The sequence below is a fragment of the Homo sapiens genome, chromosome 3 (assembly GCF_000001405.40).
Source record: "Homo sapiens chromosome 3, GRCh38.p14 Primary Assembly".
Taxonomy (NCBI): domain Eukaryota; kingdom Metazoa; phylum Chordata; class Mammalia; order Primates; family Hominidae; genus Homo; species Homo sapiens.
In genome coordinates, this window is record NC_000003.12 from 160,872,583 (window position 1) to 160,888,864 (window position 16,282).

General features: G+C 40.4%; 1 protein-coding gene across 5 annotated transcripts in view, besides 2 other annotated features; it reads left to right on the forward strand.

Annotated features, from left to right (window-relative positions):
* The window catches only part of PPM1L (protein phosphatase, Mg2+/Mn2+ dependent 1L), a 322,672-nt gene that overhangs the window by 116,352 nt on the left and 190,038 nt on the right, over positions 1–16,282 (forward strand). The window contains exon 2 of one of the 5 annotated variants that reach the window (NR_134243.2): positions 9,655–9,737. The exons of the other annotated variants lie outside the window; for them this stretch is intronic. The gene's annotated coding sequence lies outside the window, so the exon portion shown is untranslated. The remainder of the gene's footprint in view (positions 1–9,654; positions 9,738–16,282) is intronic. 5 annotated transcript variants of the gene reach the window in all.
* Positions 13,403–13,452: an enhancer, noted in NCBI's record as "active region_20764". NCBI's record gives its function as "activates an Ori minimal core promoter by ATAC-STARR-seq in GM12878 lymphoblastoid cells {active_cell/tissue: GM12878}" and the evidence as "EXISTENCE:reporter gene assay evidence [ECO:0000049][PMID:35858748]".
* Positions 13,973–14,172: an enhancer, noted in NCBI's record as "active region_20765". NCBI's record gives its function as "activates an Ori minimal core promoter by ATAC-STARR-seq in GM12878 lymphoblastoid cells {active_cell/tissue: GM12878}" and the evidence as "EXISTENCE:reporter gene assay evidence [ECO:0000049][PMID:35858748]".

Here is a 16,282-nt window from a genome sequence, read left to right on the forward strand (position 1 = left end):
ACAAGAAAAACACTAAATACACTACTAGTTTTAGACATTCAAAATTTATATAAAGATATTAGGGCTGGGCGCGGTGGCTTACGTCTGTAATCCCAGCACTTTGGGAGGCTGAGGCGGGTGGATCATGAGGTCAGGAGTTCAAGACCAGCCTGGCCAACATAGTGAAACCCTGTCTCTACTAAAAATATAAAAAGATTAGCTGGGCGTGGTGGCAGGCGCCTCTAGTCCCAGCCACTTGGGAATCTGGGACAGGAGAATCGCTTGAACCCCGGAGGCAGAGCTTGCAGTGAGCCGAGATTGCGCCACTACACTCCAGCCTGGGCGGCACAGCGGGACTCTGTCTGGGAAAAAAAAGAAAAAAAGATATTAGTTATACTGTTTATGATGTGAGGAAAATCAAAGTTTGTCAAGTAACTTTGTATTCAGAAGTTTGTGAAGTATTTAGATTGAGTCTTTATCCTAGTATGTAGGTAATGTTAAAGATGATTTTTAAAAAAGTCACTGTGCAAAATTTCCTTGCATATGAACAGTTACCTTGGCATGGACTCTTTTCTTCCCACTGTTACAGGGTAGCTAACTTCCTATTCTCAGTAAAGCTAAGGCAAAGAGAGTCTTTCTGTCACCAAGGTATTCTAGGTTCTAACAAGCATATGGGCATCTCTCCCTTATAAAAGCCATGATATAAACACAGTACTGCTTATATTCTGTAAACAATATTAATGGCTAGAATCAGCTGCATAAATTTCTGGGCTAATTAGATGCTTATGTGCTAACCTGGAAATTTAATCATTGCTGGGAAAATTTTGTTCTGAATTCAAAACGGCTGACTTATAGGTAGACTATGGAATATTACCTGTCCTTGCCCTGGGTATATACAAACCCATTCTCTGTGAAGAGAACAAACACATTTCTATTGTGGCATGTCCATAGTGTTAGAATTGGACCTTGCTCTAGTAGAATTATTATTATTATTATTATTATTTGAGGCAGATTCTCACTCTATCGCCCAGGTTAGAGTGCAGTGGTGCAGTCTTGGCTCACTCCAACCTCTGTCCCCCGGGTTCAAGCAATTCTCCTGCCTCAGCCTCCTGAGAAGCTGGGACTACAGGCACATGCCACCAAGCCTGGCTAATTTTTGTATTTTTGTAGAGAGAGGGTTTCACCATGTTGGCTAGGCTGGTCTTGAACTCCTGACCTCAAGCAATTCACCCCCCTCAGCCTCCCAGAGTTCTAGTAGAATTGTGATCCTAATTAATTTAATACACGTCACTATGAGAAAATGGACTTGCATCATGGATTGAGGATTTGGCCTTTATTCCAAATTAAAACCTGATTATTAACCAGGCTCTAGTCTTATCCTTTGCTGACAGAAAATGGTATGGTCTTTTATATCAAAATTGTAGAGGGCTATTAATTTTCTGTCTATATCAGACATTTCCTAGGTTTTTGGCTACCCAGAGTCTGAACCTCTGTTTTTATCTGGCATGAATTCTTTGTTATGTGGGGTTTTGTGGGAGGCGGGGTTCCTTTTCCAGAAGGGGTCAGATTTTCTTGTCTTTAGAAGCTAGGCTGCAGCCATGTGAATTAGGTTCAGCCAATCACTATTACTCACCCAGAACTTTGAATCTTGAGTGCATAACTCAAAGATGCAGAGACAGTTTATTCTTTTTAGCAGTGGTGGTGTTGAGAGTCCAGCGACATCATTGTCTAGTTGCAGCAGTGGTGATGAGAAAGGTGTGTTAACCAGACTCTTTTGTGGCTGAGTCCCTGTGTCCTAGCCTCCCTTCAGCCTCCCTTGATTCTAGCTCACTTCCAGGTCAGGCTTCTAGCTTTTCCTTCAAGATATTTCTGTATCCTTCAAATATACTTTTTCCCTTTAAGTCTGCCAAAATGGATTTCTATTGCTTGTAACCAAGAACTCTGACTGATACACTGCGTGAAAACTAAGCTAACTGTGGCAGGTTATACTTTCCAAAAATTGTACCACCAATATATATCCTATCCTATATGCTCTTCTAACAGTGTGATTTCACATTCCTCCATTGAGAGGTAGAGGGCTGTGTTCCCCCTGCTTAAACCTATGTGGATGAATAGAATGTGTAGAATTAATAATGATGTGTGGGTTCCAAGGCAAGGCCCTAAAAGGTGATACAACCTCCTCCTGGTCCTCTTTCTTTCCTGTGACATGTGCCTTGGAAACTGAGTCCAGGTACCCTGAATATGCCATATTAGAGAGAGCACATGGAAAGACTATATAGAATTAGAGGGGTATGCCAGAGGAACCCCAGCTGTTCTAGCCCTCAGCTGTTTGAGTTTTCCCAGTGTAGGCAATAGGACAGACATGTGATCAAGCAAGCTGTCCCATGACTTCTCAGCCCCAGCCTTCCAGCTGGCCCAGGTGACATAGGGTAGAGCAGAAATAAACTCTGAGCCCTTCTCCAAACTGCAGATTCATGAACAAAATGAACATTGTTATTATTTTAAGCCCCTTTGCATTCATTTTGCATATATTATATGGCATATATATATTTCCAGAATGATGGCTATTATAAATATTCAAACTGTAACACCTAAATTCTAATCTCTAGCATAGAATTATGCCTTCAGACTCTTACAAGGCAGGATTATTGATATGGAATGTACTTATTTATTTAGTTTCACATTTTTGCATCTTACAGTTTAAGAGAGTGTCATTTGGGCTATTGTAAAATTACTTGGCTGGAATAACATTACAGAGCTTTATTGCTGTTAGAAACAAGGCTATCTTCCATATCAAGATGTTTAAAATACTAGTTTTCTGAATATTTATAGTTGTGTGACAGCTAAATCCATTAATTCTAAGATGTTGCTTGGTAGTCCCCTGTGCAAATAAGTCTCTAAATGTAAGTTCATTCCTTCTATTAGGATCCTAACACATCTTTTGGGAAGCAGGATGAAAATTCTACTTTTCTTTTGGATTTGATATTCCACCTAATAAGGGGATTTGGAGAGAGCTTTAGAAATTAAATAAAATAGCTAGAAGTTATTGAGGATTTACTATGTGCAAGGCACTATGCTAAGTGCCTGCAGGTCTTCTCATTTAATCATTATAACAATTGTATGAGGTAGATTTTTATTACTCTTCCTTTTTTATAGGTGAAGAAACACATTTAGGTTAAGTAAAACTTTCCCAGGTCACATAGCTGGTAGCTGGGATTTGTATCCAGGGCTATATGTGACCCTAAGGTCAGTGTGTTCATAACCGTCATGCAGAATGGCTATGAGTGATACTTCAGCATTTTATCTCCTACCTTCCTCTGACTTGTCCTGGATTATCCTTAAGACTCTTGACATTCAATGTAATACACAAATTCTCGCCCTTTTCACACATTTTTCTTTCAGAATCAAGCCTGCCTTCTCTTATTTGCTGTAAGTCCTAGTCTTGAAGAGTTTTAAGGGACTCCACCAAATCTATTAGGAAGAATATGCAAACATAAGCTTTATGCGAATCTTGATGACCTTGGTGGAACCTTCTTTCATCAATTCCTTAAATCTGCTTTTTGTAGGAAGTGTACAGGTTGTACATAAACGATTCAAAATAACCTATCCTTCATGATGACACCAACTGTTGAGTGTTTAAAGTAGAAGATTCCTACCTCTAATGCTTCAGATTTGAGTAACTTATGACAGTAAATCAAGGGTTTGAGAACTTCTGAGGGAAAAACTTGAAGACCATTCTGGCTTTGTGTGTATGTTTGTGGTTGTGCACTCTCCCTGCCACACTTGTTAGTGTGGAATGATGGCAAACTGTGCTGCTGTAGAGTTGAAGAAGAACAAAGAAAACTGTACTGATGTTGAATGAGATCCTGATTACTTCAGTGTTTTATATGTATATCATGCCTTGCTTCATCAGCATAGATAATTTATAGTAGAAAATTGGCAAACAAGATGTTAGAAGAAATTCATCTCTGTGCTCCTCAGCAAAGCCCAAATCTCTCTGAAAGTGCTCCTGTTACTGCAGACACTGTGCTATTACTATGTGAGTGGCACTACTGAATTCTACTTTAGAGGAATTGATTTACTAGAAAACAATGGGCCTCTGGAAACTCAGCACTCCCATATACTCTGCATTGAGTTACTAGAAGTCCTTTTAATACAGAGTCTCTGTGTGGGCACAACTACAATGCTACAATGGCTGGAGCACCATATTGTGGGTGGCCACGTGGGGGTGGTCATTTTCCCTAATGACACAGAAGGGAATGAAAAAAGGCTTCATGTTGTTTTAGAGTCTTGCACACAGCAGCCTGAGCCTAGCATGTGACAAAAAGCATTTGCTATTTTTATATCCTTTGGGAATGACTTCTGCACCTAGGCAACCAATCATAGGCTAAGAATCCCCAACAACAAGGAAAAGGTTAGTTTTACTAATTAGCCACAGAGAAAGGGACATTGCCACGTTCTGGAGAGTCTAGGTTTGCAGGAATCCAGCCAAGGACAAGGCTTTGCATTTTTTAAAAAGTCTAATATTTGCTTTGGTGTTTCATTGCAGAGACCTAGATTTAATTTGAATACTCTTCAAAGGTCTATTTATCATTAGCCTTGTGTGTCATGGGTATAAATATATCTTCAAACTCAGTTCTGTAAGAAATAATAATAATCAAAAATCTTTTTGAATAGCTTGATTTCCTGCAGAGAACCAGGCTGGAGAAAAATTTGGCTTTTGCCATTTTTGGAGTTCTCATCTCCAAGTTCGTGGCAAGCTAAGTTTTTCACATCTCCAATTTCATGGCAAGATGTGTGCAATTTATTTCAGCTGAGATGCTTCTTGCCTCAGTGTACACATCCTCTTCAGATCTGACAGCTTTCTGTTGCTTTCCAGTTATGCCCAGCTCATAGAAATAATTTTGTTTTTGAGGGTAGGTACCAGGTGCCATCGAAGCAGCATCATTGTCTGGTGTAAATACCTGAGGTTTGTTGTCTCATGCCAAGGAAATAGAGTATGCGGACACATGAGAAGTGGGTTTAGGAGCATAGGTTTAATAGGCAAAAGAAAGAGAAAGGAGAACAGCTCTCTCTCCTACGAGAGAGAGGCTCCCAAGTGGGACTTCCGGTCCAAAGTGAAGTACACTGGATTTTACAGACTGACCTGAGGAGGTGATGTCTGATGTACGTAGGGTCCAAAGATTGGTTGGACAGGTGTGATATTTACATAACACACGAAGGAGCTGGCCACCCCACCCTAATCTTCTTATTAAGCAAATGGGTTTTCTACTTGGCCAGTGCTCTGTTGTCTGCTCCTTACTGTACATGTGGTTGGCAAGGAAGAGGGAAGATGGAGCCACCATGTTGAACATGCCTAAGGTAGTCTTTTCCTATTGGCACAGCTGCAGGCATTCACCTGTGTAAGCTTTCCTATGTCAGCAGCTCGATTTTACAGGCTGCTCTTTGTTAGAGAAGAAATGATTTGGGGGTTGCTTTTCATTAAAAGGGAAACCTTATCGAGGACTTCCTTAACCTCACTATCTGCCTAAATAATTTCTTTTTAACTCCTATAATCACCATCTCCACCCTGCAGGCCATCACACATTGGCCCAGTTGGAGTGCATACAGATAATTCAGCTCACACATGCACTGGCATATGCAAACAAAAGGCTGTCTTAGCTTTAATAAGGATTTGGGTTCAGAGCTCTACTGAGAAGGCATGGAATAGTAGTTCAGGGTTGGTATATCAGTCCACTTGGGATGCTAGAACAAAAAATCATAGACTGGGTGGCTTACACAACAGACATTTATTTCTCATGGTTCTGGAGACTGGGAAGTCTAAAATCAAAGTGCTGGCTTATTTAGTTCCTGCTAAGGGCCCTTTTCCTAGCTTGCGGATGGTTGTTTTATGGCTGTGTCCTCACATGGTGGAGAGAGAAATCACATGAGAGCCAGCTCTCTGGTGGTGTCTTCTTATAAGGGCACTAACCTTGTCATGAGGGCCCCACCCTTGTGACCTCATCTAAACCTACTTACTTCTCAAAGGCCCCATCTCCAGATACCATCACACTGAGAGTTAGGGTTTCATCATATGAATTTTGGGGCGACACAAACATTCAGTCCATAACAGGGCCCCTTTCAGATTGGCTTGAAGAACCTACAGATATATTAATTGGAGAAGTGGGAGAAGCAGGTACTGTTAAATGTGTAGCCCCTTTTTAAAAATATCAGGTATAGATTATGGAAGGCACCAGTGATCCTTTCCATCATGATGTAGAATATCTTTGCACATTCAGTTTAATAGGATTTCTGCTGGGTGCTAACAGAACACATCTGAACACATTTCATTTATTTATGCCTGATTGAAGAATGTCCCTGTTGTTAGGTCCTCCCTAGGAACCATGACTAAGCTCCAAACATTTATTAAACTCAGAACCTGAATTATTAGCAACTGAGCAACTAGTTCTACTTTGCTTGAGGATAGTGAGGACACCTTGTGTGCAAGGAGAAACATTTGCCTTTTATGCTTTGAATGTAGCAAAGAAAGAGAAGGCAAACAGAACATTTTCATATTAAAAGTTTGAAGGTTATATCCTGCCACAGGGGTAACTAAGAAACTTTCCCATGTATATGGCCCCTACTGGGTGCTTCTGAGAAAGAAATGCTACCTTTTTTTTTCCACTCTCTGTTCAAAGTCACCAAGCATTTGGGGGAAATATTTTATAGAACTTTTAATTTGTTTTCAATTGGATTACTCAAATTCTGAAGTTGAGCAGTTCCATCCCAGGAATGAAGAGTCCTCTGTAAATAGGATTAAGGTCTTTTTACCCTAGATTATAATTAAGGGAATAGATACCTCAAGTGGAGGGAAGTGTCATTAAAAAAAGACTTTCTCCAAGGTCCCCCTCCCCAGTTGCTATCATTATAAATGCTCATTATGTTTTCTTTTTAGCGCTGCATGAGGTACTGGTGGGTGATGGACAGCAAAGAGGACAAGGGAAGAGAAAGAATTTTTGTCCCAAAGGATCCTGTGAATTAGTGAGAATATATACACATGAAAATTTTTAGTAATAATTTGGGTGACATATGGTTAAAAGCCAGAATAAATTGGCAGATAACAAATTCCTTTAGGACATTGGTCAATCAAATCAGAATCCCAGGGCATGCCTGTTAAAACACAGATTTCTATGTCCCACACCTAGAGTTTCTGATTTTGTAAGTCTAGGGTGTGTGCAGCTTGATAATTTGGATTTCTAATAAGTTTTCAGCTGGTGCTTATGCTGCTGATCTGTCCTTTTCTCCAGTCTCTCACAGTGATACAAATTGAGAACTGCTCCTGTAGGAGACCAGAGACTAGAGAGGTCTGCAGTATGATTGCCGTGTGTTGAGATGATGCTTCCTTTCATCATTCACCTGCTGCAGTTACCCATGTTTCTCTTTTCTGGCCCTCATTTTATGACAACAGCTGGTAGCACTCTTTAAAATGTCCACTTCTGTAAAAAGTGCTACCTGGTAGCACTTCTGATGTCATAAGCAGAGAGCATGCCCTTTTCTATAATTAGGTAATTCTCTACAGAGAGAGGAAATTATACCATCTTCTTGGCAGCAGTAGGAGGAGAGGAACAATATTCTTGTTTTGCTTTGACCATTTTTTTTTATCTTTTAACCATTACCTTACAGCATTCACCCCTACATTCCCTAATAGACATTAAGAATTTTTTCTGTAGCCAAAAGCAAATAGGAAACATGAGTTTTCAGATTCACAACCAATTAAGTTAAAATTAGGGAAATGGAGAGGAGAAAAATTGAGAAATGATACAGGGTGAAGAGTTCAAAAAACAAGCCTTTTGGGAAGGAGTTATTTGGTGCTTTTGAGAAGAGCATTTGCTGATTGAGTATATATATATTTCTAGAGAAGAAATGCAATAACATTTTCCCATGCTGCAGGTGAGGCTTTGTCATAATGTTTTACTGCAGTGAAGTGGGAGGTTTCATAGCTGTTAAATTAGTAGCAGTCCAAACTATCATACTCCCAAATATGTGTTCCTACCAAATCATATTACTGGTAAAATAGCATTCTGTGGTTAAAAAAAAAAAAAGTCAAGGAATCCTTACTTAAATTTCTGTTTCTATCAAATACCAATACAGGCAGAATAAAAACTTTTCCTAAAGTATCTGTCCTTTGCTGAAACCAGCTTCTCACCTGCCGAAAGTTTAACACTGACCCAATCAAATTGACTTTCAGCATCTTGAGCAGGGACAAGTTAGAATCTCCTATTTCCACCCCTCTCCACCCAGATTTTGCCACCAGTTATTCTTTTTCCCAGTCTCTCACAGTGATACACATTCAACCCTCTTTCAAATGGTATTAGGATATATAGTAGGATATAATGAAACTTAGTGGAGTTTTTGTGATATAATGAAACTCTGTTTATTTCATAGGACAGTAGATCTTTGATTTTATGGTAATGTTTTAAATGGTTGTATGTGTGATTCTTGATACAGAGAACAGCTTGTGACTTTTCCCACTTTTTCAGCAGCATTTAAAAATAAAACTCTCTAAGGTAATATTCTTCTAACTTAAAGAATATCATTGCATACCTATATTTAGGCACTAAGGAGTACTGTACTATTATGCTGCAAAGATTTTAACTACGGGGCTTGGGAAATAATCTCAATGTGAAGATACATGTTACATCATGTCAGTTATTATTGTTCTATTGTTACTTCCAAGATTCAGGACTTGGTTCTAAGGGAGGGACATTTCTTTTAAATGTTTTGTTTCATTTTTTTCATGATGGAGAGATGACTGAATTACTGTATTGTCAGTTTCTGGAAACTTGAATTATCAGTTTTTTCTAATTCAGCTTGGGAACAGGGCTAGGAGAGAGGACAGTGTGAGAAAGTATGTCAAGCCTGATTGGTATATAATACTGCTCTTGGCCAATATATTTAAAAAATAATTTTCAATACACCTCCCCCATCTTTCTTAAGATGGTGGAATCCTCCAGCATGACTCCAGTTTTCGTTATTTTAGCACTAGACTTTTAATGATTTCAGAATTTCCGTCTGCTTTTGACTATTCTCCCTGGTGTTTTAAAAATATTTATTTCTTCTATTCAGAATTCTCGATAGGGTTTTTATGACATTGACCTCACTTTCTAGTAATGTGTGTCTTATCTCCCAAGATGCTCCTCAGAGTGGTCAAGTAAGAGGTATGTATTCCGGCCGGGCGCGGTGGCTCACGCCTGTAATCCCAGCACTTTGGGAGGCCCAGGCGGGCAGATCACAAGGTCAGGAGATTGAGACCATCCTGGCTAACACAGTGAAACCCCGTCTCTACTAAAAATACAAAAAATTAGCCGGGCGTGGTAACAGGCGTCTGTAATCCCAGCTACTAGGGAGGCTGAGGCAGGAGAATGGTGTGAACTCGGGAAGCGGAGCTTGCAGTGAGCTGAGATTGCACCACTGCACTCCAGCCTAGGGGGCAGAGTGAGACTCTGTCTCAAAAAAAAAAAAAAAGTATGTATTCCATATCATTGATCTTTGAATAAAGTGAAGGAGGAAGACCTGCCTCATATACGTTGTTGAATATCACTTAAAATTTGATCTTAATATTAATTTCCCAAGATTCATGAATAACGCTTTCACTACTGGTTGATGTAATCTATTTCTTCTGCAATTATTTATTAGAGCAGACATCATCCTAGAGGACAGGAAATATCTGATTTCTGGATTATCTAGAACCTTTCCCAGGCCATCTCATCTGGCGCAGGGTAAGCACTTAGTTGAAGTTTGAATTAATGAAGGAATAAATGAAGGAACATGTAAAGCTTTGAGAACAAGTATGCATATTTTAGTTATAGGATCAAGATAGTTATTAAACTGTAATAAAAAGCAGAACTTTTACTTTATTTTAGTTTGATTAGTTTTTGAGTAGGTTCTACAATCATGTTATGTAAAATCAAAAAGATATTGGATTAGTTTCCTAGGGTTCCTAAAATCAGGCCCACTCTAATCCACTGTCATATGACCTCATCTTCACTTAATTACATCTGCAAAGACTCAATTTCCAAATAAGTTCACATTTACAGATATGAGGGTTAGGACTTAAACAGATCTCTTTTTGGGAACACAGATGTACCCACTGCAGATATAAAAGTATATAAATGAAAAGTTTCCCACTCACCGTTGTTCCCAGGTCACCCAGTTGTCCTCCTCAGAGGTCACCAATGTTATTTTACTTTATTTTAAACAACTTTAACTAGTCTAAAAATGATGTAAAGGTAAGTGATTCTCACTTTATCCTATAAGAGACAGTCTTGTTCTTATCTGTTTCATTCATCAAAACTTTTTGGGTTTTAGTCTTCAAATTTATCCCATGTCCTCAGCTGGGTTCAGGGATGGGGAGAAAAGGCAAAATGTTCAAGTAGACACTAAATATAGTAAACCTGTATTAATCATTGAGTGAAATATATTCTACATGCACGTAACTCCCTCATTAAATGTCAGGCATTATGTGGGTAGCACTTAATCACTCATTTGCTGGCACAAAGTAGATTGCTCTAGTTTTAAATCCTAGTAACATTAAGTCTTACAGCATTTTGTTGTCAGTTTTTTACTTAAATACATGTTATTAAATAGTTTGGGAATAAATTTGTTGTTATGCATGTATTATATTGCTGTTAATGATGCTGTTAAAATAAAACTTTTTTTTACCTGACAGTGCTATATGGAATTAGATGAAATTTATGAAATGTAGTTGCATTCCATGATACTTAACAAAATATATGTGATATCCTGTGTCTTAAAAATGAAATATGTGTACAAAAGCTATGTATAATGCTGCATAGTAGCAAATTAAATGATCTGAAAAGTCCTGCAGTAAGCAACCAGTTTAGGCTACATTTTCCCGTAAAGTCTTTCTTTAAAAACAACTACATCCTGCATTACTATTGTTTCCCAGAATACACTTTGAGAAATGAAGGTCTACAAACCGAAGACAGAGTTAGAACAGTGAGTCAGAAGCCAGGCAGTGAATTAGGGCAGAAAAATAGAACTTTTATGCTGCCTACCTCCAGTAGGAGATGACTTAGGTCCTTTTTGTTTCCATAGGATGTGGCACAGGACATGGGGCGAGGGAGAAAGAAGTTAGGGGAAAGAGACTGGGTTTGGGGGCCTGGGCTTTGGGGCTAGGCAGATTGGGTGTAATTCCCAGCACTGCCACTGACTAGTTATATGATCTTAGACAAGTTGCTCCATTTTTCTAAGCCTAAATTTCTTTATCCACCAGGAGTTTGAGACCAGCCTGAGCAACTTAGTGAGACCTTGTCTCTACAAAAAAAAAAAAAAAAAAATTAAAAATTAAAAAAAAAATCTATCCAGGCATGGTGGTGGGCACCTGTGGTCCCAGCTACTCTGGAGGCTGAGGTAGGAGGATTTCTTGAGCCTGGGAGTTTGAGACTGCCACGAGCTGTGATTGAGCCACTGCACTCCAGCCTGGGAGACAGAGTGAGACCCTGTCTCAAAAACCATTTTTTTTTTCTTCATCTAAATAGGGGGAAGACACAATTCCTATCCCTAAAGAATTTACCATTTAATTGGGACATGAGATTAGAAGACCTACGGTTATGTAAAGATAATATGATTATTGCTTTAAGAGATATACAATGTGATTGGGAGTTTTGAAGGAGGGAGAAGCCAGTTAGTTGTGGACAATCAAGAAAGGCTTTGTGGAGGAGCTGGCATTTAGGTGTGTAGGTCTCCATGGGTTAGTAAAGCTTCAACATTTGGAGACTTGTTAGTGGAGAGTGCATTCCAGGTATTAATAGATCAAGAAGCAAGAGCAAAGGTATGGAGATGGGAAAGGAAAGACATTTTAAAGAATAGCAAGTGGCCTCATTTCTCTGGAGACAGTAGAAATGAAGCAGCCATTAAACTTTGTGACCTATGTGCTGTAAGGGACCCAGTGGCACTGATAGTTTTAGCAGTGCTGATAGTGGCTTTTGAGTAGACTAATGTATTTAATAATCGCTTTGACACCATTACGAAGTAAACAACCTTGTACTTGAGTAGAATTTAGCTTCTGCTGGATGGTCCCTGTCCTGAGGTGCTAGTACACATATTTTAATCTGGCACAGAGCCCACATACAATGGAATGGGGCCACTTTCATAAATATTTCAGGATTTCTAAATTATCTTCCCTGAACAATGTTGAGGGAAAGCTTAGTAGATGAATAAGATTTTAAGACCACTAAATAAAATAAAACAGATTTCTTTACTCATAAACTTCTAAGAAAGTTTGCTATGCTAATGAGTAGTGTTAGTCCCATGGAGGGAGATTTAGTGTGTGGGATTCTCTGAACTTGGACCTCAGAACCTTCTGTTGTTCCCTGATCTCATACTGACACCTCCTCAAAAGATGTTCTCTTCTTATGTTTGAAGTCAGTGTTCTTATTACCTGTGGAGCTTTTTCAAAAGGCAAATTCTATAGTTCTTTTCTTTACCCTTGTCACCTTCAAGCATATTAGACTCTTGGCATGTAGGGGAGGGATAGGTACTCAGTAGGATAGTACCTCTCACTCCCTATCTCCACCCCTTCACTGACCTGACCTAAGGTATTAGAAATCATTCTGTCAATCACATGAACAATTAAGGCCCACTCTCTAAATCCCTAATTGCTTACTTTTTTTTGGGTAAGAAAACCTTTTTTAAAAGCTATGAAGAAAAATATAAATAGATTTATGTAAGCAAAGGCAAAGGTTATAGATCACCCTAGAATAGTAGCAGATCATTGGAGAAGAGTATAACATGCCTAGACTATTATGAATGCATTAGGTAGGATGTTCTTGTGTTGCTATAAAGAAATACATGAGGGGGGCAAGGCCAAGATGGCCAACTACAAACAGTGGTGATTGGAGACTCCCATTGAAAAGAACCATAATAAACATGTGAATCCTTCACTGGCAACCAAGATATCCAGGTTCTCTCATCAGAACCAACTAGACTCTGGCTGGCATGATCCACGAAGAGGAGGGAACACAGTGTGGTGTGGTGGCCCACCTGAGAGCCACACGGGGCAGAGGAGCCCCCAACCCACAGCCAAGGGAGGCAGTGAGTGAGCATGCTACCTAGCCGGGGAAACTGAGCATTATCCACAGAACTCTGTCAGCCACGGATCGGAAGATCCCACTCACCTACCCACGCCACGGGGTCTAGGGTCCCAACCCTGGAGCTGCGCAGATTCTCAACAGCCTCTCAGCTGCAATCTGCTTAAGCCTGCGGAGCTCCCCTGGGGGAGGGGCAACCAGCACCACAGCTGTGGCTGCCTGCTGTGTAAGCCATGTGAGCTCCTTGGGGGAGGGGCAGCAGCCAGCACTGGGACTCATAACTGCCTAACACACTAACCTCCCTGGGTGGGGGAAGGGCGTCATTCATCTCTATAGCTCCAGGCCACACTTTGCTTTTCCCCTGCTGGAGCCAGTGAGGCTGGATGGCTTGGTCCCAAAAGGTGTCCCCCACAGGCCAACACACCAGCTGTGGCGGACTGCAGCCAGAAAGCCTCTTCAGGCCTGACCCTGACTCATATTTCCTTACTGGGCGGGGCTCCCTGCAGTAACTCCAACAACTCCAGCCAGAGGCTCAGGGACAGAACACGGATCTCCCTGGGCCTGTGCCCCTAGTGGGAGGGATGGCTGTAGTCTCTGTGGACCAGCAGACTTAGGTTTTCTTCCTGGCAGTTCTGAGGAATCTGGGCAGCCCAGATGAGTGGGTTTCCCCCAGCAAAGCACACCCCATCCACAAAGGGACAAAGTGCTTCGTTAAATGGGTCCTGTTCCCTGTACCACCTAAATGGGTGAGACCCTCCAACAGGGGTTTTCAGACACTCTATACAGGAGCAATCCTACTGGCATCAGATTGGTGCCCCTTGAGGTCAGAGATCCCAGAAGAAGGATCAGGCACCCATCTTTGCTGTTCTGCAGCCTTTTTGAGTGACACCTCCAGGCACAGGAGCGAACCAGATGAATACGGCCTGAAGTGAATCCCCAGCAAACCGCAGCAGCCCTACAGAAGAGGGACCTGACCATTGAAAGAAAGACAACAGAAAGCCACAACATCTGCATCAACAACAACAAAAAGTCCCCACAAAAACCCCATTCAAGGGTCAGTAGCTTCAAAGATGGAAACTAGACAAACTCAAGAAGATGAGAAAAAAATCAACAAAAAAACGCAGAAAACCCAAAAGGCCAGAGGGCCTCTTTTCCTCCAAATGATTGCAACATCTCTTCAAGGAACAGAACTAGATGGAGGATGAGGTGGACAAATTCACAGAAGTAGACTTCAGAAGGTGGGTAATAAAAAACTACACTGAGCTAAAGGAGCATGTTCTAACCCAATGCAAAGAAGCTAAGAACCTTGATAAAAGGTTAGAGGAGCTGCTAACTAGAATAACCAGTTTAGAGAGGAACATAAATGACCTGATGGAGCTGAAAAATATAGCACAAGAGCTTCGTGAAGCATAGATAAGTATCAATAGCTGAATCAATCAAGCAGAAGAAAGGATATCAGAGTTTTAAGACCATCTTGCTTAAATAATGCATGCAGACAAGATTAGAGAAAAAACAATGAAAAGGAATGAACAAAGTCTCCAAGAAATATGGGACTTCATAAAAAGACTGAAACTATGATTGATTGGAGTACCTGAAGGAGACGGGGAGAATAAAAACAAGGTGGAAAACACACTTCAGGATACATCCAGGAGAACTTCCCCAACTGAGCAAGACAGGCCAACATGCAAATTCAGGAAATACAGAGAACACCACTAAGATACTCCAGAGAACACCACTAAGATACTCCATGAAAAGATCAACCTCAAGACACATAATCATAAAATTCTCCAAGGTTGAAATGAAGGAAAAAAAAGCGAGAGAGAAAGACCAGGTCACCTACAAAGGGAAGCCCATCAGATTAACAGCAGATCTCTCAGCAGAAACTCTACAAGCCAGAAGAGATTGGGGGCTAATATTCAACTTTTTTTTTTTTCTTTTTTTTTTTTGAGATGGAGTCTCGCTCTGTCACCCACGCTGGAGTGCAGTGGCGCAATCTTGGCTCACTGCAAGCTCCACCTCCCAGGTTCACCCCATTCTCCTGCCTCAGCCTCCCTAGTAGCTGGGACTATAGGCACCCACCACCATGCCCGGCTAATTTTTTTTTGTATTTTTAGTAGAGACAGGGTTTCACCATGTTAGCCAGGATGGTCTCGATTTCCTGACCTCATGATCTGCCCGCCTCCTAAAGTGCTGGGATTATAGGCGTGAGCCACTGTGCCCAGCCTCCAACATTCTTAAAGAAAAGAATTCTCAACCTAGAATTTTGTATCTAGCCAAACTAAGCTTCATAAGTGAAGGGGAAATAAAATTCTTTCCAGATAAGAAAATGCTGAGGGATTTCATTATCACTAGGCCTGCCTTGCAAGAGCTCCTGAAAGAAGCACTAAATACGAAAAGGAAAAACTGTTACTAGCCACTGCAAAAACACACAAAATATAAAGACCAATGACACTATGAAGAAACTGCATCAACTAGTGTGCAAAATAACCAGATAGCATCATGATGACAGGATCAAATTCACACATAATAATACTAACCTTAAATGTAAATGGGCTAAATGCCACAATTAAAAGACACAGACTGGCAAGTTGGATACAGAGTCAAGACCCATTAGCGTGCCATATTCAGGAGACCCATCCACATGTAGAGACACACATAGGCTCAAAATAAAGGGATGGAGGAATATTTAGCAAGCAAATGGAAAGCAAAGAAAGCAGGGGTTTCAATCCTCATCTCTGACAAAACGGACTTTAAACCAACAAAGATCAAAAAGGATAAAGAAGGGCATTACATAATGGTAAAGGAAACAATTCAACAAGAAGGGCTAACTATCCAAATCATATATGCACCCAATACAGGAGTACCCAGATTCATAAAACAAGTTCTTAGAGACCTACAAAGAGACTTAGACTCCCACACAATAATAGTGGGAGACTTTAACTCCCCACTGTCAATATTAGATCAATGAGACAGAAAATTAACAAGGATATTCAGGACTTGAACTCAGCTCTGGATCAAGTGGACCTAATAGACATCTACAGAACTCTCCACCTCAAATCAACAGAATATACATTCTTCTCAGTGGCATATGGCACTTAATCTAAAATCTACCACATAAGTAAAACATTCCTCAGCAAATGCAAAAGAACTGAAATCATAACAGACCACAGACCACAGTGCAGTTACATGGAAATTGAATAAGCTGCTTCTGA